The sequence below is a fragment of the Homo sapiens genome, chromosome 1 (assembly GCF_000001405.40).
Source record: "Homo sapiens chromosome 1, GRCh38.p14 Primary Assembly".
NCBI lineage: Eukaryota > Metazoa > Chordata > Mammalia > Primates > Hominidae > Homo > Homo sapiens.
In genome coordinates this window covers 74,192,785-74,220,279 of record NC_000001.11, presented here as the reverse complement: position 1 = coordinate 74,220,279, position 27,495 = coordinate 74,192,785, and the positions used below count along the sequence as shown (strand labels likewise).

General features: G+C 34.5%; 3 protein-coding genes across 13 annotated transcripts in view, besides 1 other annotated feature; 1 reads left to right on the top strand and 2 right to left on the bottom strand.

The window, feature by feature from the left end:
- The window catches only part of FPGT-TNNI3K (FPGT-TNNI3K readthrough), a 346,187-nt gene extending 324,149 nt beyond the window's left edge, over positions 1 to 22,038 (bottom strand). For both annotated transcript variants that reach the window (NM_001112808.3, NM_001199327.2), the window contains exons 1-3: positions 21,920 to 22,038; positions 20,449 to 20,616; positions 18,870 to 18,962 (exon numbers count right to left, since the gene is read on the bottom strand). In NM_001112808.3, coding sequence (NP_001106279.3) covers positions 18,870 to 18,962; positions 20,449 to 20,616; positions 21,920 to 22,001 — 343 coding nt within the window. In that variant the 5' untranslated portion in view covers positions 22,002 to 22,038. The remainder of the gene's footprint in view (positions 1 to 18,869; positions 18,963 to 20,448; positions 20,617 to 21,919) is intronic.
- FPGT (fucose-1-phosphate guanylyltransferase) lies at positions 11,578 to 22,038 on the bottom strand. 3 transcript variants are annotated; one of them, NM_001199328.3, is made up of 5 exons: positions 21,920 to 22,038; positions 20,449 to 20,616; positions 18,870 to 18,962; positions 15,824 to 15,889; positions 11,578 to 15,061 (listed from the first exon to the last, which is right to left on the bottom strand). In NM_001199328.3, the coding sequence occupies exons 1-5, from the start codon at positions 21,999 to 22,001 to the stop codon at positions 14,448 to 14,450; spliced, it is 1,023 nt and encodes a 340-aa protein (NP_001186257.3). In that variant the 5' UTR covers positions 22,002 to 22,038; the 3' UTR covers positions 11,578 to 14,447. The 3 variants fall into 3 exon arrangements, with proteins under 3 accessions (NP_001186257.3, NP_003829.4, NP_001186258.3); NM_003838.5 differs by having other exon boundaries at positions 11,578 to 15,889; NM_001199329.3 differs by lacking the exon at positions 15,824 to 15,889 and having other exon boundaries at positions 11,578 to 15,072.
- Positions 22,101 to 22,200: a silencer, noted in NCBI's record as "silent region_994". NCBI's record gives its function as "represses an Ori minimal core promoter by ATAC-STARR-seq in GM12878 lymphoblastoid cells {active_cell/tissue: GM12878}" and the evidence as "EXISTENCE:reporter gene assay evidence [ECO:0000049][PMID:35858748]".
- LRRIQ3 (leucine rich repeats and IQ motif containing 3) overlaps positions 22,104 to 27,495 on the top strand; it is a 172,162-nt gene continuing 166,770 nt past the window's right edge. For all 8 annotated transcript variants that reach the window (XR_007079570.1, NM_001322315.2, NM_001105659.2 and 5 more), the window contains exon 1: positions 22,104 to 22,284. The gene's annotated coding sequence lies outside the window, so the exon portion shown is untranslated. The remainder of the gene's footprint in view (positions 22,285 to 27,495) is intronic.

Below are 27,495 nucleotides of genomic sequence, written 5' to 3'. Positions count from 1 at the left end.
AAATTGAACTGAACTGAAAGGGACTGAACCAATTGAATTGCTTAGAATACATTCCTTCAGTAAGAGGAATATTGCTAAGGTCGGAAAAGAGGTAAAGTGAAACTAGAGTAGGCCATTGCAATTCTGCAGCCTAAATACTACAGGCTTTTGAAATTCTATGCAAGGAAAATTCACACAAATATTAGTCTCTTTGTTTTCCTCATCTTCCTGTATATGTAATCCTTAAGAGGTTTTTGCATTAGTTGGAGTTGCTAGCATTAGTAATTTATACAAGGGATTTGATGTTCTAGCAATAACTTACAAACCAGACTTTCAGGGAGATTTTACAAACTACAATTACAAGAACCTACTCGTGATCAACTAAATCAGAATCTGCTGAGGTTAGGTCCTTGAATTAGAAATAAAATAAAACTCCAAAAAGTGGTTTGACACAGCTTGTCTATAAGGAAGTATAAGGCAGGGCCCTTGCTTACAGAGCTTACAACCTAATTTGATATTCAAAAATCTAACTAACTTATTTTACAAAGTAGCTTTTGATGAGTATCAAAAAAAAAAAAAAAAAACTTCCACATGCTATGAAAGAGGAAGAAAGGGTTAATCGGGCTAGTAGTACAGAAGGATTTTTGAATCTGGCATGATTTGCAATAAGTCTTGCTACTTGTAGATTTTTAAAAATCTTAGACAGTGGGAAAATAAATAACAATTTAATATCTAAAATATGATAAATCAAGAGTCTGGACACAATTTAGATTATATCACATCAGAGAACTAGAAAACTTATTAAGATGATGTTCATTAAAATCTCTATTATTGTTTTACACAGTAAACAAATTAAACAAAATTGATGGGACCAAAGTAATTTAAATTTCATCTTGGATTTTTTTTGGGGACTAAAAATTGATGAGGCTAAATTAGGCAAAGTCATAAATATCAAATGACAGAGAAATTATATAAAGTAGCAGCAATGGTAGAAACTATGAACAGAAAAGATAAAAAGAGTTACAAAAAGAAACATGTAATCAAACCAAAAGAACTTAGAAAAGCTAAAAAAAAAAAACCCCACAAAAACACAATATAATTATTGGAGGAGAGAAGTACCTGAAGAGTGGTATAAGCCAGTGTTCTGTAAGTGGGAGAAATACACAAATTATATATGAATTCATAGTATGTTGAAGAAAGTGAGTGGTTTAAACAGAGGTATCATTTTATAAAGAATAACATAAAAAATTTGCTTGTTGCAAGTCTGTTGGGATTACATTTGAAATGTAATGTTCAATCCTGTACACATCTACCTCATTATCATGAAAGAAAGATCAAAGAAATAAAACTGTTCTTGGAAATGAAGAAATCAGTTATGAAATATATTTGTCCCATCTAAAGAAAGTAATTGCACATATTCTGTAAGTGCTCCTTTAATAATTCCATTAAATTTTCTTAGATATCATAACTGAATAGGAGGCTTATTTTCACCTGTCGGGAAGGTTTTTTTTTTTCTTTTCCTTTAAATTTCAAAACACTTTCTAGCACACCATTTCAGACTTGCAATGCCCAGTGGCCCTTGCTGTTCATATATTTGACTTTTGGTTTAATGAATATCACGGTGAGTTAATAGCAGTGCTAGGAACAAAGCTAAAATGTTTTTTCATTTTTATACATTTCCTTTGTTGAGCTTAATGCTTAACTAGAAAGTTATATTTTGTTTTTATGCAATAAAAATCTTTGAAGATTGTTTTATTGGTTTAGTTAATGTCTGACTATGAAATATAAAATGTGCATTTGTGTACATATTTTGGTCGTTGCTGTTGTTATTTTTCTACTAAGAGCCATGAAAAAAAAGTTTATGCAGTGTAGTTTACTCCATAAACACCTTCTTTCAGCTCTTTAAATCAGACTGATATAATAATATGTGGTGTCACTTCTATACTGTATCAATCAAAACACCAGCTGTATACTGAATTTTTAGCTCAGCACAGATAAGGATAAACTTTTGTAAAGACAAAAGTACCTACTCATGTCTAAACAAAATCATTTCCAAGAAATATGTGTTTTAACGAGAACATAAAATAAGGTTTTTATAAGGTTTTGAAATCTAATTAAATTTTTTCAGGTTCAAAGTAAATAAACTGCTGTACAATATTTGTACTATGTTAATTCATTTGTGAAGTTTCTCTTTTCCAGTTCTCTTTTGTTTCAGTTCTACACAGTTCAATAAGTGCTGCTTATCGTTAAGCAAAGCTATCACATAAATTACCATATCCTTTAATTTACAGTGTTTTATTAGGAAGTGATCTGTGGGAAGACATTAATTATTATTATTATTTGTTTCCTTATTCATTACTATTCATCAATGTCTAAACTCAATTTTGTCATTTGGTAGCCAAATACTGGGAATATCACTCCCATATTACATACACACACATAAACACATACGACTTTCTCTCTTCTTTCCTCTTCTTTGAAATAAATTGTTAATCATAATTTGGTCAGAGGTTTAATTTCTAAGGTACCTGTGTATTTATATAAATATGAAATTATCTGCATATTTATATAAAATACTATAAATTAATCAAGTGTAGACCTTTTCCCAAGCCACTCTTACACTTCCATGTGATTTCTGAAGTGACACACTACACTTTGACTGGGTTTCTTTCAGACTTTGTTATGCACCGAGCACTCTCGCGTACCAAACTAAGAGATCTTTCCTCATCATGTAGCTTTTGTTAGTCTCTTTGGCTGACTATTCAAATGCCTTACTTATGGTAGCTCTACCTAGGAATTATTGCAATTATTTTTTTTCCTATCTTATCCTCAACTAAACTGGAAGAACCCTGAGAGCAAGGGATAAAATATTCTTAGTGCTGATCAAATATCCTGGCACATAATTAACTTCAAATTGTGATAATTTGAAGTCAGAGGGGGTCTAACACTGGTCTATGTGTTCTATCTACTATAAATGGTAACTTTTTTAAAGCAAATTTTGTAGGCTTATTTCCTATTTCAAAAAGTATACATTTAACATACTTTTGTCTGCTTATGTTTATTCTGACCTGCTCTGTAAAAGATTTAACATGGTTTATCATCTCATAGCAGCATCATGCTAGGTGCTGAGCTGTCTACTCCGTCATGTGGCTTATGGGATGGGGGATAAAAGGGATAAGGGTATAAATATTTACTTTATTCCTCATTTTTTCTTCATATGTTTAGCATTTTCATAATCATTACATTCCATGACTGTAACATTCATTATAAAAATATATCATCTACTAGTACTATCCCCCCCACTAACATACCATACCCTCTACTAACTAAAATATATCACTAGTGAAAATGTTGGATAATAAGTCAATAAGATAATACAGAACTAGAGTTATGTTTCACATAAGTGAGAATAATGGACTGATTTTAAATGCTAAGTATAAAAGTCATAATCGCAAAAAACAATGAGGAACTAAAAACCATAAAGTTGTATACACAAACCATTTCAGGAAAATGCTTAAACACAGAGATATAAGTGGATATTTCTTTGTATAAGAAATGTAGGTCGTATGGAGTAAGTTTCTGCCCTGAGGAATTTTCCAAAAGCACACATTTAAACTTAGGTTCTAAGGAACCAGAGGGTAGCCAAGTGTTTCCTCAGGTCGGAAATTCTTAGAGGGTGTCTTTGACACCCTAATAATCTAAAGCCTCCCAAAAATATGCCTTTGGATAAGTATCAGCTAGAAGTAAATATGTCCTCCTTTATCCCAAACCAAAGAATTGTCAAGCAGCTTGCCTTGCTGTTAAGCAGAGCAGAAGAAATTTAAAAAAAGAAGAAGAAAGGAAAAAAGAGAAGAAAGTAAAATAAGGTTCCTGAGCAATTATTGCTACAAAAATATTCACTTTGGATTTATACAGAGCCTTCTAAGTCAGAAAAGCTCACTCTTGAACTTAATCTGAGGTTGCTCTTAAGTGGCAATGCTTCTCTGGTCTCCTGATAGAAGCAAATGCAAAGCCTCTACAGGAGAGTCCATTCATCTTAGGCCATGGGAAACCTCTGCAAATACTTTGCTAAGGACAATGACCAACAAACAAAGTCAATCAGATACACATGAAAGCATAGCAACAAAACACTGAAGAAGGATCAGAAGCATATCCATCCTGACTTCAGATAGTAGAATTGTTAGATTTGTTTTACAAAACAACATTGATTACCACATTTGAAGGAAAAAAACAGAAGATGGAAGGTGGGGACAGCAATGATGACAGATGTCCAGAGAACAGGAAACTTTAAAAAGGGACACAGCAGATTTAAATGAAAGGAAAACTCTATGAATTAAAAAAGAAAAAAATACTATTTTCATTTATTCTCTCCCCAAATATGTTGGAGAAAAAGCTTTTAATGATTAAGTTATATTTTCATTTCAAATTCACATCTGTTATTTTAACCTGAAAAAAGTACCCCTAAAAACATACTGATAGACTTGACAAAAATGGTTAATACTTTGTGTTGTACATTTGAATATTTTAGAGAACTAAGCAAATTATTAAGAAATTATGCTAGCCACATTAAATCCTCTTTTTTCCAAAATGCTAGTCATTCTTGCTGAACCTTCCTTATTTCAGATTCCTGATATTTCAGAGACTAATAGAAACTAACTATATTGAATCTGCTGTTAGTAATTCTCAAATATACATAGAATCATGGTTCAGTCCAAAATATAGTTAGCACTGGACACCTGTTATTCCTTGACTCCTTTTTGAAACAAACTTATTAAGAATCTCTACTATGACGATGGTATATTTTGTGCACTTCTTGGAATAAATAATGTACAGGAATCATTCAAATGCATATTCAGTGGGAAGCCATCTGGCTTCATGTGAATTTATGAATATTTTAGCTTGCTCAGCTAGTCAAAAGTAAAATCTGGCACTAGGGATTATCATGTAGATTTGTGACAGTATTACAAAAAAAAAGCTTCTGTAAATCAATGATTGACATATCTACTAAAGTATAGTTTCTTCTTGGATTGGGTACACTTAAAATATGTACAATATTGCATGATTAGTTTGGAAGTCATAATTCAACTTGAATTAAAACATAACAATGTTTCATTAAAATAGTTACATATAGAAATTGAATCTTGGAATTGAGTGGACTTTATAATGTTATTGTGGTGGACACTGTGATGGCACCCATATTGCTTCTTCAGTGAAGGGCTTGTTACCTCAGCTACTGCAAGTGCTGTCAGTAGACAGCTTTCATTGGTCAGCCCCCTTTCACAGATTGGCTTATTCCTAAAGAGATATCTTGTCCATTGTCTTCCTTATCAATTGGGCACCTGAGAAAAGATAATTGATGTGTGGTATAAATCCTGGCCAATCAGGTTCAACTTGGGAAACACTGAAGTGCTATTCTAATATCCAGAGCTCCTCTTGGGATTAGCCAATTAAGGCTGTCTTTGGGATTGCATCTCAGCTTCACTTTCTTCTACTCTGTTTTGCTCTCTCCCCTTCCTTGTACAAGTATTAATCCCACAGGCCCTCCTTAAAAATATTTTGCATTCTAAAGTACATCTCAGATTCTGGTTTTCAGGAAATCCAACCCACAGTCATTATCTAATCCTGTTACTGGTGGAGAGTGACCAGGTTCTTGGCATTTTGAACAAAGAACTGGACAAAACACACAAAGCAAAGAAAGAATGAAGAACTTTATTCAAAATGAAAGTACACTCTACAGTGTGGGAATGGGCCTGAGCATAGGGGCTCAAGGACACCGTTACAGAATTTGTGGGGGTTTAAATACCCTCTAGAGATTTCCACTGGTTACTTGGTGTATGCCATATGTAAATGGAGAGGAAGAAGTAAAGTTACAAAGTTATTTACTCTGCATACACCCTATGAAAAGGATATTTCCTGTCATAGCTTAAGTGTGAATTGGCCTTACGTTCCCTGCCTCCAGGCCCTATTTTCCTGCCTCAATCCTACCTCTTATCTAAAATAAGAACTTCTTGAGAAAACTCTTGCTAAATTGTCTTTTAAGCCTATTATCTCATAAGAAAATGTACTCTGTTATTGGAAAAAATTCTTTATAATGTTGTATATAAATTTTCTTCCTTGTAGCATCTGGAACAATATAAAAATCAACTTCATAATCCTGCTGGCTTCCTCACTGATTAAATTCTGACCCATGTTCACAATTTATGGATTCATATTTTAACAATTTGAGAGTTACATTTTGATAATGAGAAATACAGATTTGAGAATTGATAACACATAGATGCTATGAAAATGGATGGTATTCCAAAGGAGTGAATGTGGATAGAGAAATTCAAATACAAATATCTGTGACCTTCTAGTGATATGAGGTGAGGAAGATGAGGAGAAATCAGTTAAAGAGACTTAAAAAGTGTGACCAGAAAGTTAGAAAAAGAACCAGTAATGTGGGGTTCCTTGCATCCAGGTAAAGAATGCAAGTCAAAGAAGTAATCAATTGAGATAAATGCTGTTTAAAGGGCAAGAAGATGAGACCAAGAATGACCCCTGGATTTAGCAAAGTCGAGAGCACTGGAAATCTTCAGAACAAGTTTAATGGAGTAGTGGTAATGGAGAGGGGTGCTAAAAGCCTGAATTGGGTTGAAGAGTAAATAGGAAGACGGGAACTGAAGAATGGAAAAACAGACAATGTATTCTAAAAATTTTAGTGTAAAAGGAACAAGGAAATAAAGTAATACCTGAAGGAAGTGTAGTGAAGGGTTTTTTTTTTTTAAACTGGAAAAATCACAGAATATTAGTGTACTGATGAGAATAATTCATTGAAGGAAGAAAACTAATGACACAAGAGAAAGAAGAGATAAATGCTATATGTCTACAATGTAAACAACGTGTGCATATCTCGTAAGGGGATGGAAGAAGTTGGTCTGAGGAAGAGAAAAAAAGTTAGACATAATTTTGGATTATAAAAAAAATAGCTAGTGAAGAAAGTCTTGGAGATGAAGATGCCAAAGGATTTCTAAGAACAATTATTACTTAATGCTGTGCTCTGATATGTATCCTTCTCTTTCCTTCCAGCAACTTCCTCCCTAGCTCCAATGATTCAGAGAAATTTGCTACACACAAAATTTGTGTGAGAAGGCCTTTTTCTGGAGAGGATATGGTGATGCCCTAATTGCAGGAAAGAGGAAAAGTTTGAGACTCACATAGTGAAAAATAGGCGCTCAGCTCATAGAATTGTGAGAAAATCACATGCAAGCCCAAACAGAACTAACTCACCAGAAATGGAAGCTTACAGTCCAAAGCAATTATGGAGATATATGATCTTCAGGAATTTCACAGATATTTGAGAGAAGTTTTTGACATCATCTCTGGGGTTTAGAATAGAGGCTCAACTAATGTTGCCTACATCTAAAGGGAAAGCAGATTTCCAGCTGACATCTGATTACACATAGCAAATATGAAAAAGGTAAAAAACAACAATGTGGGTGGTAAAGAGATTGCAGACTATCACCAGGCAAAACTTCATGGAGAAAATAAAGTGTAGAATGTTAGAAAGTAGTATGAATCTTTGTCCTAAAAGGTAGTCTTCAGGGGAGCAAAATGGGATACAAAAACAGTACCAAATTAGTGAAGTAAGGTTGAGATGGCCACAGTATTCCTTTTTCTTTCAATGCCTCATACACCCCAATGCCAATCTTCTAAATCTTTCCTTTGCAGGCTTTCTGCAACTTTGCGTTCATGTGCAATTATAAAAGTCAGATCATTGTTATTACTGCACACAATAAGGCATTGTGGGATGTAAAAAAAAAAAAAAAACTATTCCATTAGTCTAGAAAACAGTGGTAGCTCAACAAGTTGAGAGAGGTTGATGGATTTTGGTTGTGTTTTTCATACATAGACTTCACTTGTTGAAAACAGGATGAAAAGGATGAGGGGAAGTACCTGAAGAGTCATGGAAAATTTCCTGGTTTGTTCCTTGAGCAATTTGGTGAATGGCTGTGTCATTTATCTAGATGAAAAAGATTACCTTAATTGATAGAAGATTAGAGCTCTCCAAATAGAGATGCCTATGTATTTTTTTCCAGTAAGGGAGGGATACGAAGCAGGGAGGTACATATCTGAATCTAGAATTCAGTGTTGGGTATGATGGCTAGTAAAACTTCGGTTTCATTGTAGATGAAACTAGGCTGACTATTCCTGATGAAATAATATGGCTAAGAGAAGTATTGTTTTTTGTTTTTGTTTATTTTTATGTTATGGAAAATTCCAGCACGTTTGTAGTCTTAGAGATACATACTCAAAGACACTAGAAACATGGCTAATTTTGTAAATTGCTTCTTCTCACTGAACTCATGGTAAATATTTAATTTTTTTATTTTATTATTATTATACTTTAAGTTTTAGGGTACATGTGCACAACGTGCAGGTTAGTTACATATGTATACATGTGCCATGCTGGTGTGCTTTACCCATTAACTCGTCATTTAGCATTAGGTATATCTCCTAATGCTAACCCTCCCCCCTCCCCCCACCCCACAACAGTCCCCAGAGTGTGATGTTCCCCTTCCTGTGTCCATGTGTTCTCATTGTTCAGTTCCCACCTATGAGTGAGAATATGCAGTGTTTGGTTTTTTGTTCTTGTGATAGTTTACTGAGAATGATGATTTCCAATTTCATCCATGTCCCTACAAAGGACGTGAACTCATCATTTTTTATGGCTGCATAGTATTCCATGGTGTATATGTGCCACATTTTCTTAATCCAGCCTATCATTGTTGGACATTTGGGTTGGTTCCAAGTCTTTGCTATTGTGAATAGAGCCCCAATAAACGTACGTGTGCATGTGTCTTTATAGCAGCATGATTTATAGTCCTTTGGGTATATACCCAGTAATGGGATGGCTGGGTCAAATGGTATTTCTAGTTCTAGATCCCTGAGGAATTGCCACACTGACTTCCACAATGGTTGAATTAGTTTACAGTCCCACCAACGGTGTAAAAGTGTTCCTATTTCTCCACATCCTCTAACTGGCTAGCCACATGTAGAAAGCTGAAACTGGATCCCTTCCTTACACCTTATACAAAAATTAATTCAAGATGGACTAAAGACTTAAACGCTAGACCTAAAACCATAAAAACCCTAGAAGAAAACCTAGGCATTACCATTCAGGACATAGGCATGGGCAAGGACTTCATGTCTAAAACACCAAAAGCAATGGCAACAAAAGCCAAAATTGACAAATGGGATCTAATTAAAGAGCTTCTGCACAGCAAAAGAAACTACCATCAGAGTGAACAGGCAACCTACAAAATGGGAGAAAATTTTCGCAACCTACTCATCTGACGAAGGGCTAATATCCAGAATCTACAATGAACTCAAACAAATTTACAAGAAAAAAACAAACAACCCCATCAAAAAGTGGGCGAAGGACATGAACAGACACTTCTCAAAAGAAGACATTTATGCAGCCAAAAAAACATGAAAAAATGCTCACCATCACTGGCCATCAGAGAAATGCAAATCAAAGTAAATATTTCTTTTGTATTGAAGAATCAGCTGTTGCAACAAGTAAAAAAGAATTACTCTAAAACTTTTTCCTTCCTTCCTCATAGGCTGGCTTCCATACACAGCTCTTTATTTGACTGGATAATGCTTAATTAGAAGCTCTATCAACTTTAACCAGTCATAAGTGATCTTTCTTATTCAATTCATTAAAGATTGATCCCAGTGATATATAATTAGTGCATTTTTAATTTATGACTTTGTCAGTGTGCCTGTACATTTAAAATCTGCACTTGGGCCACCTGATATAATCATAATTATTTCTTTGTGTAGTCCCAAGTTTTCTAGTTCTAGAAATATTTGAAACTTCTCTAAAGTACAGAAAATTGATGGACATAATTTACTTTCTCAAACCCCAAGGCTAAAAATAATAGGTAAGAAACCACTCACGTAAAACTTCATTAAGCAGTGCAACATTTCTAAACCTGCAAATGAAATGAACACTTACTTGATTTCTACATAGTTGTATTTTAAAAGATTTTTTTGCCTCAAGATGTAAATGCTTTAATTCTATTCTGGGCGATGTGACACTCTCCTACAAGGAAGTGGTAAATTAAAACTCACTTGAACCATCTGAATGTGCTACAGAGAGAAAACAGTGGATACTGGTAAGAAAAGAAATTTAAAAAAATCATTTACATGTGCAGATTACTTAGCTATGATGTGTTGGTTGTAACAAAGATTTTAAAAAGTGTTAAAGAGGCTGGAGATTCAACAAGCATATCAGTAACACATCATAAGCCAGTGGCCAAAGAATACAGACATTTTAGTTTAGATTGTTTCAGAAATGCACTGAAGCACAATTGAAGGAGTGTAATTCTGGCACAGATAGCTAGGAAATGACACTAGCAGATGGATTGCACTAGTCTACAGCAATCAGAAATGAATTGCTCTGTGTGAATGGTTGAAATTTATATGTGCAACGGCTAAGAGATCCCTGCAGCCAGAGGCTTCAAAAAGATAAGACTTTTTGTCCAAGCAGCCCAAAATAAAATGTTAACTCGTTAGTATCAATCAGTTACTTGCATGCACAATAATACTCTTGGGATGAACATCTTTAGACATAAGTGTCAACAATCAAGCTGATGTGCAGGTAGGTGATAACAGTGACTCATTTACAGGCATCTTCCCTCTACACCTCCAATCCTCCAAGTAGCAATACAGTAGGAAAATCAGCAGCTTTTATTATTCCATTTCCCCAAATATTAACCTGACCCAAAGTTGTCATCTACTAAACTACGGCCAAATTGGCAAGTTTGAATGATGTGGCAAGTTTGGTTTGTTGTGGCTCACGTAGACAGCTCTTCCAGGGACAGAATTAGTATTCTTCAACCAAACTGGTATGACTAGACTTTCTTTATATATAAAAAAAAACCTAAGCAGAAGTTTCTGTATATACAGATAAATGGGAGCATGAAAAATGCTACTATGTTACAGAATTTGGCACACTAGTATTGGAGGAAGGAAAATACGACAAAGTTAAATGCAATGAATGTTAATAATTTTACTAAGTATTAGAATTGTGTTCCTCAACCTCAATAGAAATAGGCTTTCTCTAAACAAAATTTTAGAGGCACAGAAGACTCAAGTTAACTAGATATATGGTTGCTATTATTTTTCTTGCACTAAGCAAATTAAAAAGGTCTTTAACAATTTAGTTCTTGACACAGATGAAGACTTGATTTAGATGAACAAGAAAAAGAGCATCTGAAATCCTTTAGCTTGTTTTGAGCTACTAATGAGTTTTCACTTCTCTCCATTGTAACTCTGCTAGGCTAGACTGAGGTGCCTTAATCCTGAGCCGCCAAGGTGCTCAAGTCCAGACGGCATCATGATGTATGTAAACAGCAACTCTGATTTTGTGTAGTTTACTTAACAGCTATATGTGACAGAAGGCAGTTTTGATTTTGGCTTTATTGCTGAATTTGGTAATCTTAACATTAGGAGTACTATGTAGCTACAGAAGATGACTAGATCATCACAGGTTATGGGAATTAATCCTGGATTCATGCCATTAAACTTTTGACAATTTCAGAGTATCACTTGGATTTTTAAAGCTTTATTTCAATCAGTATACACTGATACATATCCTTTATTTCTGCTTTGCTTAGAGAATAAATGCCTAAGGTAAAAGATTATTATCAAATGTTGAATTTTTCCCATGCCCTTGTTGATAGTTATTAAATCATCAATAAGTTTATGGATTATAGTTACAAATAGCAGGCTTTTACACACCTGAGTATATGATGTAAGTGCCATGATTTCATAAAAATAAAAATTATAAAATGAGACAAAATGTTTAATTTCAAACTTATCCATGTAGGTCTTATTTTTCTACTGCTGATAAAACTCAGAAAAAAATTATCTTTATTGGAAGACTAAATGAAAAGCCTAAAAAATTAAGATTGTCACAAAATTTAGTCACTTCTTATCAAAAACACACTTCTCCTCTATCATCATGTACACTGCATTATTCAGGGATTAAATTTAGGAGTGACTTACTTTTTTTTTTTTTGCCTAGATCCTTTTATTAAAACACATACTTAGGTTAGAATCATTCCTAATTCATCTTTTTTTATCCACATTTCGACACCCCAGAAAACAGAATGTGCCTTACAAATGATAGTATAATAGCTATTAGCCAGGCAGCAATAGTCATGGAGTTGTTACTTGCTCACATGTGAACTTGGTCATATCTGCGTATATGACTGTCACTTCAGTTGAATTAGGTACATTATTGGTGGTACGTTTGTGCTACTACACACCAAGCAATACATCTCAAAGCAAGAGACATTGATAAGTCCTTTGAACAGAACCATTTCAAAGCAACCAGAATCCATGCATTGTACAGGATTATGATTAAAATTCAGATTAGGTTAAAATACAGTATTGAGCACTTAATAAACATATAACATCCTCTGAACGCTCTGTAAGTAGATAAATGTTAAACAACAGCTACCATATATTTTCTTTAAAAAGAATCTTGAAAAAGAAAAAACAAACACACAAATACCACAATTGAGGGCTTCAGACAGGTCACTTCTGGTTTACCAAACAATTAATTTTCATATTGACATGTTAATATGACGTCAATTTGTGAGAAATCTCTTTCTGACTTTGAATAGAATCACAGGTCCGATCTTCTAAGGACCTGTGATTAAACTGAAAGAAAAGTGAAACTGAGTTTTGCCAAATAGAAGGGTATCAAATCTTGCAGGAGTGTGGGTCTGTAGCTGGGTAAAAAAAATCCAGACATAAGTGTGGTAGAGCACTCAGGAAATGCAGCCTTACCAATAATTCTGAAAGCAGAGAAGATGGTACTAGGTGGACATATGCATATCAATAGCTCTGAAAGTGCTGAAGAGTTTGAATGTGAAGCTGTAGAAATTTCTTGATGATATCTCAATATTTTATTTTTTTGTTATTTTATATGTATATGCAAGAGGGTTAAATAAAAATCTGTATTTAAAAACATCTAAAAGAGCTCTCCAATAAATATGAAAATTTCAAGTAACAAAAAAAGCAGTGTCATGTTTTATTGTGTTTTTCTTAATGGAACATAAAATAATGGTGATTCTTATAACTGATGGCACTTCAGATTTGGTAAAACTACAATTTTGAACATTTAATGAATGACAAAGACATAACATCCTCTGAAAAATCTGCAAGTAAATCAATCATTTTTAAACAATAGCTACCATATATTTGTATCTTCTCCTTGGGAAAAACTTTGGAAAAAAAAACACGCACATAAGTATCATAACTGAGGGTTGTGGACAAGTTACTTCTAGTTTACCAATTTTTATATTGACATAAAGTAGCACAGACTAGTTATTTCATTTAAAAAAACACACTGACAAATCTTTTCTCTATTACACTTATAAGACTTTTCACTTATATGCTTATACCAATATAGAAACACATAACTTGAGATTCTAGCCAATTTTTATTTTCTCGAAACTGTTTATCACCTGTGTATTATCTCAGTTTTTCCATTTTCCTGCCTGCTTCTTGATGTCTGCATTTGGGCCAATTATTGTTTCTCAGCATCACCAGCATGTGGACAAAAAATAAGATGAAAACTAAAGTCAGTTCATCTGGTAATTGAAGTTTTGTTAGAAGGACTGATAGGAGATAATGCAAGTAATGTCTATAGTGAAATTATATGATTATTGATGAATCTCAATTATTACTACCACTTTCCCCACAGATAACTGAGTTTTGTGTGCATATGTGTGTTTTCCTATGGAATGGAACATAAAGGAAAATTTTAAAGATATACAAACACATGTTCAAGTGTATAATACATATGTACTTTTAGTTTCATTTTGATAAAATTAATGAGATACAAATTTTATCATCAATTTCAGAGGTCTTTGTATCTAGTTCTTTATCAACGAAAATAATCACAATATATTGGGCACTGAGTGAATTTGTCAGCTATGGATTCGTTTCTGAAAAAGTATTTCTACAGTATTCCTACACTACTCTGAAGACCCTACAGTATGCCATTTTTATTATTAAAAATAGAATTACAGTTGAGGAGAGAAGTGCCAGTGAATACTTAGAACTTCACTGGACCAAAAGCCTCAAAAAAGATGGAAAAATTCCAAAGGTATGCTTAGAAAATTACCTTTAAAACTAATTATGTGAAAAAACAATGCTCCACAAATCAATCATTATTAAAAACAAAAATACTGATACACATCCAAAATAGTATCTCTTTTCTCAACTTAGTCTTGGAATATTTTTCATCAAAATGACTTATATGTACTTTTGCACTATTAATATTATGCTACAACAATTATGTTAATACAGTTTTCATTAACTGAGTTCAGTGAAACAGCCTACAAAAAATACCTATCTCTGGAATGTTACTCAAAAAGGCAAAGTGTACAATATTTAAAATATCTCTACATCAAACTGCTTTTTAAACTGATTTCTAGAAAAATTTGTTCCCTGTAAGTTATCATATCTTCTACATCTTTGTAGATAAGCATTTCTTCAATGGACAGCAACTTATAGCTATTCAGGCTGAATGCTGACTTGTTCTTAACAGCATTTAACATCTTTAGGGATGTTATAACTGAGTCACTCAAAGAAGAACAAACTGGGAAAATGCGTGCAGTCCACAAACTCAGACATGTCTTGTTACCAGAGAACAGTTCCTCTGTAACTTTAAGATTCCAAACATCTAAGCATGACAGGAAACAGACTCCAAAGAATTGAAGTAACTTTATATCTGACAATGTTTTCACACTCTTTTTCAAGTTGTCTTGCACTCCAAATGCCATAGTTGCATACTTTAAGCATCTATTCATCTTTAAGCTTAAGGAACATACAAAAGAATGTGCGGGGAGGGCAGCTTTTGTTAGGATGTAAGAACCACTAATAATGCAGTTTTCCCCAACTGAAACATCAGGCCCCAATCTGGAATACTCCACAACTGAGCCAGGTGCCACAGAACATCTTGAATCCAGTATGCTTTGAATGATACAGGATGTTTTGCCAGAGCATTCTGGTATATCTGGAAAGATACTAAAAGTTATGGACTGTAAGCCGAGCTCTGACTTTAAACTGTTATCTGAGGTAAAGTAAAACAAATATTCTTCGGTTGTTCCAATGTGATAAAATTTGGAGTTATTAAGAACAACAACATTTAGTGATGTTCCTTTAAGAAGATGAAATATTCTCTGCCTCATTTCTACCAACTCTGACTCTTCTTTAATGACATTTGATGTGTTTCTGGTGTACTCCACAGTTGCTCCAGGTCCCAAAGCCTGCAGAAAGTCACCATAGGCATCTATTTCACAGCTCAGTGTGCCTATTTTTTCATAAAAAGCAAGTAACATTTTTGCTGATTTATGATCCATATAAAATAGGCTATCTGTGTAGACATAGTCAGAGTCTAATTTAAGATCGGCAATGTCACCCCCAGCAAAGTCCTGTTGACAAAAATTTCCAGGTCTACACACAGCATTAAACTGATACATCTTTTCTATGCTGGGCTTATGAAGGAAACGATGGCAAGACCTGTATTCAAGGTCTCTATGTTTTAAATCATCAAAAGGATCTAAGACAAATACTCCATGTGTGGTACCTATCGTCAAACTAGAAGGATGAGCTAAAGCAGTAAAGCCAGGTTTGTCAAACCTAATAAACTCAAATTCTCCAATACTATAAAGTTCAATATCATCTGCACAGGTAACCAGAATTCCAGGATTCATATTTAAGGGGAAATCAATGTACATGGCTAGTTTTAATTCTAGCATCTGATAAATGGGGTTACCAAGAGGTAAAGCAGTGAAAATTTTTCCCAGAGCACTTGCATTTGGAAGTCGTTGACTGTAGCCACCTATAAAATTAAAACGAAATAACCATTTAAAAATGCAGTATTATTTATAAAATTTTCAAAACCCCAGGGTTTTATAACCCATAAGTTACAAATCAAAATATATTTAACGATATTTAATATATGCCACTTGTTACTGCAAATCAGGAAAGAATAATGAAATCCAAATTAAAAATTCGAAGAGAAATTTTCTTGTTGCCATTTGATATAAGACAATTTTAAAAACTGTAGGTCAGGAAAAAATTTAAATATACTGTAGAATCTGTGAAATGTTTTGAATTACATGTATAACAAATAAGAAGGACCACGGCCCAAAACATGATGTTGCATCTACATTTGTTTTTTTTTTTTTGAGATGAAGTCTTACTGTCACCCAGGCTGGAGTGCAGTGACGTGCGATCTTGGCTCACCACAACCTCCGTGTCCCAGGTTCAAGCGATTCTCCTGCCTCAGCCTCCCGAGTAGCTGGGATTACAGGCACCTGCCACCACGCCTGGCTAATTTTTGTATTTTTAGTAGAGACGAAGTTTCACCATGTTGGCCAGGCTGGTCTCAAACTCCTGACCTCAGGTGATTCACCCAACTCGGCCTCCCAAAGTGCTGGGATTACAGGCGTGAGCCACCACACCCAGCCTGTATCTACATTTTAAACAACAAATTTCAACCATGTTTAGACTTCTAATTAAGAATCTACTTCACAGAAGGCCAGGCGCGGTGGCTCAAGCCTGTAATACCAACACTTTGGGAGGCCGAGGCAGGCAGATCACGAGGTCAGGAGATCCAGACCATCCTGGCTAACACGGTGAAACCCCATCTCTACTAAAAATACAAAAAATTAGCTGGGCGTGGTGGCGGGCGCCTGTGGTCCCAGCTACTCTGGAGGCTGAGGCAGGAAAATGGCGTGAACCCGGGAGGCGAAGCTTGCAGCAGTGAGCGGAGATCGTGCCACTGCACTCCAGCCTGGGCGACAGAGCCAGACTCCATCTCAAAAAAAAAAAAAAATCTACTTCACAGAAAATAAAAGTTATAGAAAACTAATATACTAATGCTAAAATACTTGCTTCTTTACAACATTTCGCTCAATTATGGACAGCATATACATAGGTTGTCCCATAAGATCATAATGGAACTGAAAAATTCCTATCACCTAGTGATGTTGGAGCCATTGTAAAGTCCTAGCACGATGCACCACTCAAGTGGTGATGCTGGTATAAACAAACCTGCTGTGCTGCCAGTTTACTAAACTACAGAACATACAATTATGTATATAGTATATAATAATTGGTAATAAATGACTATTTTACTGGTTTATGTATTTACTATACTATACTTTTCATTGTTATTTTAGAATAAATTCATATGATACATACAAAAAAAAGTTAAGCATAAAATGGCCTCAGGCAGGTCCTTCAGGAGGTCTTTCAGAAGGCAGCATTGTTATCATAGGAGATGACAGCTCCTGAACTTTAGTAGGACTATAGAGGTAGTGATACTGATGATCCTGACCCAGTGTAGGCCTAAGCTAATATGTTTGTGTCTTCATTTCTAACCAAAATATTTAAAAAGTAAAAATAAAAACAACAAAATAAACCCTAACAATATAAAGAAAATATTTTTGTACAGCTGTACAGTGTTTGTGTTTTAAGCTGAATGTTATTACAAGAGAGTCAAAAAAATTAAGAAGTTTATAAAGTAAAAATGTTATAGTAAGCTAAGGTTAATTTATTACTGAAGATCAATAATACCTGTAAAGCACTTGGCAGCACACAGTACATTGTTCAACAAAAGAGAGCTAATAAGTTTCTGTTTTTTTCTTTTTTCAAAGAGCAGCCAATAGTCAAGTTTAGCACTAAGAATTATCTATTTCCAAAAAATAAAAATAAAAAAATTATCTAACTATGCATTTCCTGGTATCTAATTTAATTTTTACTAAACTGATAATAATTATTTTCTTAAATAAAATTGTAAATTAGATTGTTTTACACATTTTTAGGCTTCAAACCAGAACTTGGATGCTTTACTTTGACATCATCTTTACAAAGAATCATTGTTTTGTATGTAAATCATAAGAATGAAAAAGTGCCTTGGAAGCCATGTAGATGAATAATTCTAAAATACCTGTCCCTGGACTGGTGTCAGTTCATGACAGTTTTCATTAGCCCCTTAACATACATAGAAAAACAACAAAGGTTTTCATGTAACCAAAATTTTCACACAACTAAATGTATTCAATTTAAAAAGCTATTCTTCATTCTGAGACCATGTCCTTCCTACTTTTCTGTTTTAAAATGTCTTATTTTGTGTGTGTGATTTCTCTTTTATATATTTACTTGTCCACTCTGTATCTTGTCACATTTTCCTTTTATTTTTAAGCATTGTGGCCTCTGGCTATCAATAATCACACAAAAATGCAAGATAAAAAGTACTGGCAAAAGTCTAGTAATGACAGTGTTAAACCACCCTTCCCTCAAAGCAAGAATCCCCATTAAGGGAGAAAGAGTGTTAGGAAAAATAGCTAATGCATGCTGGCTTAATACCTAGGTGATGGGTTGACAGGTGCAGCAACCAACCATGGCACACGTTTACCTATGTAACAAACCTGCACATGGACCCTGGAACTTAAAATACAAATTAAAATTAAAAGAAAAATCCCCATTAAAGTATTCCCGAGAACTATTCATATTTGAATGAGTTGTCTTAGGAAAATAATTTTCTATATACATACCCAAAACAAAACAATATTCATAAAAGACTGACGATATACGTGATCTACAATTTTACGAGTAAAATTTGTGAAAATCACTATACTACTTACAACCTAAAAAAAGTCATGAAAATCATAAAATATTTGTTTTCAAAGCAGAATAACTTCAAAGATTCTTTTAAAAAAGAAGGAAAGTGTTTGCAAGAAAGAAAAAAGTCTCTAAAGTATTAAAGGTGGAAGACTAAAAAGAAAATGTAAATTAGTAAAGTATAACATTACCAGAGTGAATTAATAAGATGGTAAAAGAATTCCATTTATCTCCATATAGCTTTTCCAAACATTGAAGGGCACAAAGTGTTGATCCTCCATTTCCTTAAAAACAAAGTTAAAAAAGCACAATTTATTTAATAGAAACCTACTAAAACTTTGTCATGACAGTAAATTTAGGTGTTATATAACCTTAAGGATTTGCCTTTCAGGAATAAGTAAATAGATGGACATCAAAGGTATTGGCAATAGAACAAAATTAAAAACATCTCATAGCAAACAACCAATCAATAAATTAGCAATGAAACCCAGACAACAACCCTCAGTAATAAATGATGAGGTAATATTCTCCCCAAAATAGTAATTATAAGAAAGAAGAATCAATTACACAATCTGTAACACTAGAAGACTGATAAATATAAACATTCATACAGAGTTACAAATCACAAAGCCCATTTAAATAATTCTCCCAAATGACACAATCAAAAACACAAGTTAGAGTTCCTTTCGAAAAAAGATTTTTAGAACTTGGATTCCCAAAAAAAAATCTTAAATATAACTACCACACTAGTTATCTTGGGCCAGTTACTTAACTCTTGAGTACCTCAGATTCTCATCTATGGAAATAATATCACGCCTGTAATCCCAGCACTTTGGGAGGCCGAGGCAGGTGGATCACGAGGTCAGGAGATACAGACCGTCCTGGCTAACATGGTGAAACCCCGTCTCTACTAAAAAATACAAAAACAAAATTAGCCAGGCTGGTGGCAGTCACCTGTAGTCCCAGCTACTCGGGAGGCTGAGGCAGGAGAATGGCCTGAACCTGGGAGGCGGAGCTTGGAGTGAGCTAAGATCGCACCACTGCACTCCAGCCTGGGCAACAGAGCAAGACTCCTTCTCAAAAAAAAAAAAAAAAAAAAAAAAAGAAATAATAACAGTACTGACCTCATAGTTGTAAGGATTAAAATAATGTTGGCTAATTAGAATAATGCTAATGTCATATTAATGTCATATACAGATATCTTATCTCTGGTATCAGGGGGCTTCAACTTTAAGTATCACATAGAAAAGAGCATTCAGAAAAACAGCATTTATTTCTATTTGCAATGGACGGTCAAAGGGCAAAGTTGACCTAAACTAGGGTTTTCAAATATATGTATTATATTTAAGCCATGTGACAGTGTTCTTTTGCATTCTGCATTATGTCCCTAAGAGGTCAAGAGTATTTTTTCCCACTAATTGCTTTCTTCATGTAAATTGCTGGAGGAACTCTGGAGTGGAGAGGACCTCAAGGGTTCTACTGATAAGGTCCAAAGGAGTATTCCTATCTGAATAGTGTGAATTTCATTAAAACTAATAAAATTTTCTTTTAAGTAACATTCTGGAAGTTTTTCAAGGTAAGTCATAATGGGTAAGAACAGTTGCTATTCCTTTTATCTTTCTAAAAAAAGTCAATTTATGTTCAAATTTTAAAGTTTGTAAAGCTGTGGGTAGAGATATGCAGCTTATACACTGTAAGTCACAGAAACCTTTTCTTCAATGATTATTCTGCTTAGGACCTATATTATAAAACTGACCATAAAGCGCGTACCAATTTTGGCTCCAGCAGGATCCACAAAAACGTGATATTGAACTCCAAGGGGTAACTCCTTTCTTTTCAGCTTTTCTGACAGCTGTTGGTTGTAAGCAAGTTCCTGTTTTTCATCAGCCGCTGTTATTGCAACTATGTCCCAGAATTCTCCACGTGCTACAAGTTTGCCTATTTGGAAAAAGCAAGGAAATGAAAACAAAAATTATCAGAATTTTCTAGTTGCCACAGGTTTGCCTATTGAGAAAGATGATAAAGAAGGTAATATCCATTATCATCTTCCAAAATGTATCTTTGGCTTTTGAAAGTTAGGGAATAATTAGTGGTGCATTAATACGATTCAAAATAGTTATAATGAAGACTGTTCACAAGTTCCTTTTTTTTCTTTTAGATCACTCCCTCCTTTTATGGTTTGCAATCCAATTTAATTATAAATTCTGAATGACATAATGTTTCTTGATTAAGAGAGCGACTTTTAACTTGCCAAAGACTATTGCCTCAATTCTTCAATAAGAAGAGGAGATAAACATAAACAAATCTCCAGCTTTGCAAATCAATTCTTATGTATCACGGACACTTGGTGTTAGGTGACTAAGAAAGACACAACCCAAAGATCCCTTCCCTCAATGTTGCTGTTTATAAATGTGGGTACTTTATTTTCTATTACTTTAAGATGAACCATGCAAACTTACATAGGCTGTTAGAATATAACATAAAATTCTGGATAACAGAAGGTCCCAACTCTCTGATGACATCTTTAAAAGACAGTGTGCACTTTTAGTAGACAGTTGGAATCTCTTTATTGATAAACAAAATGATTTAGCATTTTAATTAGTTAACAAACAGAACTTGTCAGCTAGAATCTAATAGTCCTGAAAGTTTTACTGTTATCCAAGAATTAGTCCCAGTATTTTTTAAGCAGTCACTGCAACACAAATATAATCACTTTTATTAGACAGGTGTACAGGGATTAAGTGTCATAGCCAATTTTTTGATAACAAATTTCTTCCTTTTAATTTTTAATCCATAATTCCTCCATGTTCTGTTACTCCCTCAACAAACGGTTACATTACAGAAGTAGATGAACGTAATGTAAAGCGTGAAGTAGATAGGGGGCTGGCATCTACTCATAAAGTTCAAAATACTGTGCTTCGTATCTTTTAGATTTATTTAAAGCAACTTTTATTAATGAGCTAATCAATGCATAACTTCACTAGTAAGATTTTCTTCTTCTTCCTCCGCCCTCATTTTTAATATCTATACTACTAAGAATAAAGTAAGCAACAAGCATGTCAAGCAGGGACAGTGAAAAGAATAAAAAACTCAAAAGGATTATTAGCTAGCTACTCCTGGGGAGCGTCATAGGCCTACAGATGAGAAGTAAACGGGAAGTGACAGTCCAGCAAACCTCCTGGCACGTAAAAGCACCCTCCCTCTGCATTGCCCAGGAGAACTCCGGTGCCTTCTCTGGTACCTCTTAGCTCGGAAAACCTCCGCAATTTTCGCTGGGTGGCTTCTCGCAGCGATACTTCCGGAGGGTCCCTAGCAGCTGCCATAGCCCCACCTTCCCTGAGACCGCGCCGCACAGCACGCATGCGCCCTGGGGTGCGCCTCCGCCCGGTTGTTTCTGACCCGCCCCCTCCGTGCGTCGCCCACGTAACCACGCCCCCGGAGCGCCTTGGCTGGCGCCCGGAAAACCATGATGTGGAGAACTTGGATGTTGTCTTGTTTCTCTAGCAACGGTCTCAGGAGCAGATGGCCGCCCAGCGATTTGTCTGACTGTGTTGGGGCTGGGCCACTTGTCTCCAACTCATAAGGGCTTGCAGCCCAGTTGACCCGGTGAGTGGTTCAGTTTGGGTGACAAAATTGTTAGAACCGACCCGCTAAGGATAAGGCGAAACTACATTCTAGCTTCCCAGCTTTCACATCAAAGGCGGTTCGTCCTAACTGGTGGTTTGTTTCAGCCTGGAGCAGTTCCCCAGGATAGCCTGATAGAAGATCTCCGCCATCTCTCCTTTCCCCCGCCACCCCGGGCCATCTGCCCCCAACCCTGGGTCATGATACATACACAGTCTGAATATTTAAAATCTCTGCTCTTTCTAGGAACCTTAAGTTTGTGGTTCCTAGAGAGTGAGCCACCCCACCCCTCTGTTTTTTCTTAGTAGGCTACACACGACAGCCTCTCAAATAGTGTCTTTGAAAGTTGTATAAAATTCAGTCCGCAACCAGGCTCCAAATATTTTTGGTATTTTGGTTTCTTCTCTGGCATTCTTTTGTATATGCAGATTAATCTAGAATGTTCAATAACACTCTTAGGAATAAGTCAGCCTTTTTAGGTGTTTTTTTGGGTAGCTATATAAAGGTGTTCCTGTTATAGAACACGAGGTTTCTTGGTTTTACAGACCACTTCATCTTTACACAGAAGAAAACTGAATCAGAGAATAGTGAGTTAGTCAAGGTATCACAATTAGTAAGTAATAAAAGATTTAAGAAATATATTTCAATCCCAAACCCAGAACTTGTGGTATTTCACCATACCGTTTGATTTTTTGAGACGATTTCTCTGTATCAACGTCTTCATTAGGTACGTAGACATTCAGGGCACCATAAACTCTTGTCATAAATTTACTTAGTTTTTCTTCTCAGACTTGTTATACAATCGTGTTCTAATAGTGGAAACATTTGGATAAAATGGCAGATTAGATTACTCTTTCATAGTTTTACATTTAAAACTTCATTAATTAAAAAAACAGTATCTTATTGAAGAACATTTAGAAAATACAGAGACTTGAGTGAAAGTAACCAAAGGAGAAAGTAGCGAGAGAAGGTCAGAGAGAGAACAAAGGGCCATAGGAAGAATTTTGGTTTTTACTCTTGAGGGAAACAAAGCCATTGCAGGGTTTTGAAGTGACTTGGCTTATGTTTAAAGAGATCACTCGGAGATAGGAGAATAGATTATAATGGGGGATGAGGCAATGATAGAAGCAGGGAGACTTCTTTGGAGGTTACTGCAATATTGCAGGTGAGAGCTGGTGAAGGCTTGACCAGGATGGTAGCAGTGGGAATGGTGAGAAGTTGGTCAGATTCTGGATATATTTTTAAGACAAAAACAATAAAATGTGCTGATGGAATTAATGGGTGTGGACTGTAAGAGAAAAAGAGGAGTCAAAATGACTGCCTTGGGATGGATTGGCCATCAATTAAGATGGGTAAGTTTCCGACTGAGGAAGGTTTTTGGGGTAATAGGGTCCAGAATTTGATTTTGGACATGTGGAATAAAGAGACATGTGTATGCAGTGAATATGTAATGGAAGTTTGTGTGTGTATGTGTCTGTATGCATTATACATACGAGTCTAGAATTCAGGAGAGAGGTCTGGGCTAGAGATACAATTTTGGGAATTGTCAGCAAGAAGATAGAATTAATTTTAACTGTGGAACTAAGTGAGGTCCCAAGGGAGTGAAGGTCAGCAGAGCCTATATGTTTGGGGTCTGTATATTCTAATAAGGTGAAATAAAGAAGGAAGAAGTAACCAAATAAAAAATCCAGTGGTAACAATTGTGAGGAGACAAACAGAGTGATGTGTTAGATTCTATCATACAGAATATTAAATAGAGTATTTATTGGATCTAGGACGGTATCATACAGAATATTAGAGTATTTCTTGGATCTGGGAAGGATGGCCATAGAAATTGGATATTATTTTTTCTCAATATGACTATATCATGCAATCAAAATTTGCTGGAAATAAATATACCATATTATCAGCTATGGCTTCTGTTTTCTTTCTTTTCTCAAATTTTCATTAATATTAATTTTTAGTAAAAAAAAAATTAAAAAATACTATATATATGAGTAGGAGTAAATTTCCGTGGCAGTTGATTGTTGGAGGCAAAAAAAGTTTAGGGATTTTATTTAAGTTCATATTCACTATAATAAAACAGTGTGATATGACTGTTTAACATCTTAAGCTACCAGAGTATTATTATACTAGAGAATTCGCCACAGAGTTTTTCCAGGTATTTATCAGAATGTCATTTTACCAGAGTAAAATATATCAATCCAGCCAAGCTGTAAGCCCATTAATTCTGCACAAATCAAACACACAGGAAATAATCTGTTTAGTTTTGGATTCCACATTTTTAAAAAGATGTTGAACATACTAGACTATAATAAATTGAAAAATTATATTCTGTGGAGGCATTTGGGCTTTTTATTTCCAGGAGGAGAGTAGAGAGTATCTGAAGAGCTGCCATAAGGAAGAATGAGATAGATTTTTTAAAGCAACTTTATTGAGGTACAGGTTTAGAACATTTTCATCCCCCCATTAAAATGTCTTCCAACCCATTTACAGTTAATGCCAGTTACACTGTTTTTTTATTACTACAGGCATATAACTATGACTGTTGTGTGGAAATTATAGAGAAGAATGTTTTAATTTTCCCCCCTTCTTTATATGAGGAAGTTGAAGCCAAATGAATAGGGTCCTGGATTATATACTGTGGAGCTCGTAGTGCATGCTGTGGTCAGGCCAAGCTAGGGCTGTACTTGTTTCCAGTCCTTGTGCTTCATGGCTCTGTTTAACCACTGTTTCCTCCTGTTACCCTTCCTGACATGCAACGAAAGCAAAAATTGTCTTTTTGCAGTTTGTTTTATTTCGATTTATTTACTCAGCTAGCCTGTTCTCAATTTATTTCTTAAATATTTTTTTTCTCACTATGCCCTGTTGGAGGAACCCTCACACCCCTCAACTTTCTGTAGTGCAGAGAAACATTCTCCCACCCCTGAACTTTTATTATACTTCCTCCCTTAGTATTTTTGTAGATTTTTTTTCCAAATGGAGTTCCCCAGTAGTGTAATCATAATCTACTTTGTCCAAATACCAGGATGAGGTTTCGGGGAGGGGAAAGGGATAGGGAGAGGGCAAGTGGTTGAAGAATATAAATTAGTAGAGTCAAGAATTAAATTTTAATTAATGTAATACAATATTTATGACACTTAAGAAAAAGGTATTAATGGCTTAATTTTAGGAGATCCAAAATCTGTTCTATGAAAGCTAACCAAGGAATGTTTTGGGCTAGAAGAAATATTTGTCGTGCTAATTTCTTTATTAAGAGGTTGTGATTTCTGTGCAGATTATTTTCTGTGAATGTTTTTATTAATTTTGGCTGTTTAATATCCATCTTCTGGCTCACCACCTTTTAGTTTTTTCAGGCTTATGCTTTTGCAGTCTCCAAGTTGGAATAAAAATAAAAATTGAAAAATGAGGTCTCACAAAAGCTTTTTTTCTGAACAGAAGTATATAACCTTCTAAAATTCAAAAAGCCAATATATTTAAAGAAAAAAAGTTATAATTACAAATGAATTCTGATTCCTTGTTCTGAATGACTTTTCATGTCATTTGAAAACATATAGAATATGCCATGAAAATATAATGTTTTGTGCTACCAAGGTTATTTATATTAAGTTATAAATGCACTATATTCTGTGTTCATTTTCCAGGACACATGTACTAGTCTGACTGTTCTACTAGACTCTCCCCTTCTTAACTTTTAAAATATATTTTTTCTGTGATATAAAATTATGGCAATTCTTTTATATTTTTAGAGACAGGATTTTTATTTTTAGAGACAACCTTTCACCCATGCTGGAGTGCAATGGCAGATCATAGCTCACTCCTGGACTCAAGCATTCTCTTGCCTTGGCCTCTCAAAGTTCTGGGATTATGCAGGCATGAGTCACTGCACCGGCCCATGGCAATTCTTTATTAAAACAGTCGTTACTTAACAAATCTGTTATCCAAATAAAAAGTATTTAAAAAATATAATTTCTTTATTTTGTTAATAGAGATGCACTTAATATGTTGCAGACATTCTAAACTAAAAATAGTTTGTAATCACAATATGTATAAAATGTTACTGATTAGAATCCTTACAATTAGATTTTCTAAAAACTAAGACTTTTTATTCTTTTTTTATGATTTGATTTTATATGCAGATAACAGCTGTTGTGATAATTCTGGAGTCTAGTATTCAGATTTCCATCTAATATTATAGTTCATGCTTATAAAATAAATTACTTTCATGTAGACCATCAAATCTAATATTTTAATATATTACTTAAAATAATGATGATCTGTCTTCCAAGTATCTGAAAGCTTCAGTGAATAAGTGTTAAGTCTAAAGGTAATTAGTACACTCAGCAAAGACTTTCTTTGAAAACTTTTTTCCCAATATTTATTATGTATCACATTTGGAAAAGAAATAAATATACAAAATAAATAGTTTTTACTTCTTAATATTTAATTTAAATATTCATGAGTTATAACCTTGTATAGTTACACTTAATGTGTTTGCCATCAAAGTTGGGTGTGAAGATGAGATATAACTGATGTGCATTTTATTTTATAGACATGGTTTATATAGTGCAATTAAAATGTAGGATAATTTTTAAATTGGTACTTTAGTTGATACAAACTAAGGAAAGGTTTGCTGATAATGGTACTGATTTATTTTTAACTGCAGAATTTCTTTGAAACTGTGGTTGGAGACTTGATACGTTCTGTAACGTGTTGCTATACTTAATTTGCCTTTGAACATTATATTATTATTTGAACTTGATAATTTACAAATGTGTATATACATTTCACAAAATAGTTATAAAATTATCAAAGTCTAAAATGAATGAAAGTGACTAGATTCCTCCTCTATGTGCATATTTTAAATTTGCAACAAGTGGTAAAGGGCTTCCAACTTGGTAGAGGAGGATATATCAATTGTAGTGGTTTTTAGCTTCCCTTGGTAGGCAGTAGAATCATATGGGCCCATAGCTGCAATGATATGATTCAGGGGACATGCTCTGGGGCCTGGTCATTTGAGTTATTCCAGTTTTCAGATGTACAACATAAATAAATAATGAGAAACAAAATTGAAATGCTGCATGTGGTAGTTAAAACAAAATATGAAAAATCCCCACTTTTCCATAATGATTGGAAAGTTCGACAGAATATGTAGCTGAATAATATAAATAACTGACACATACGTTATATTCT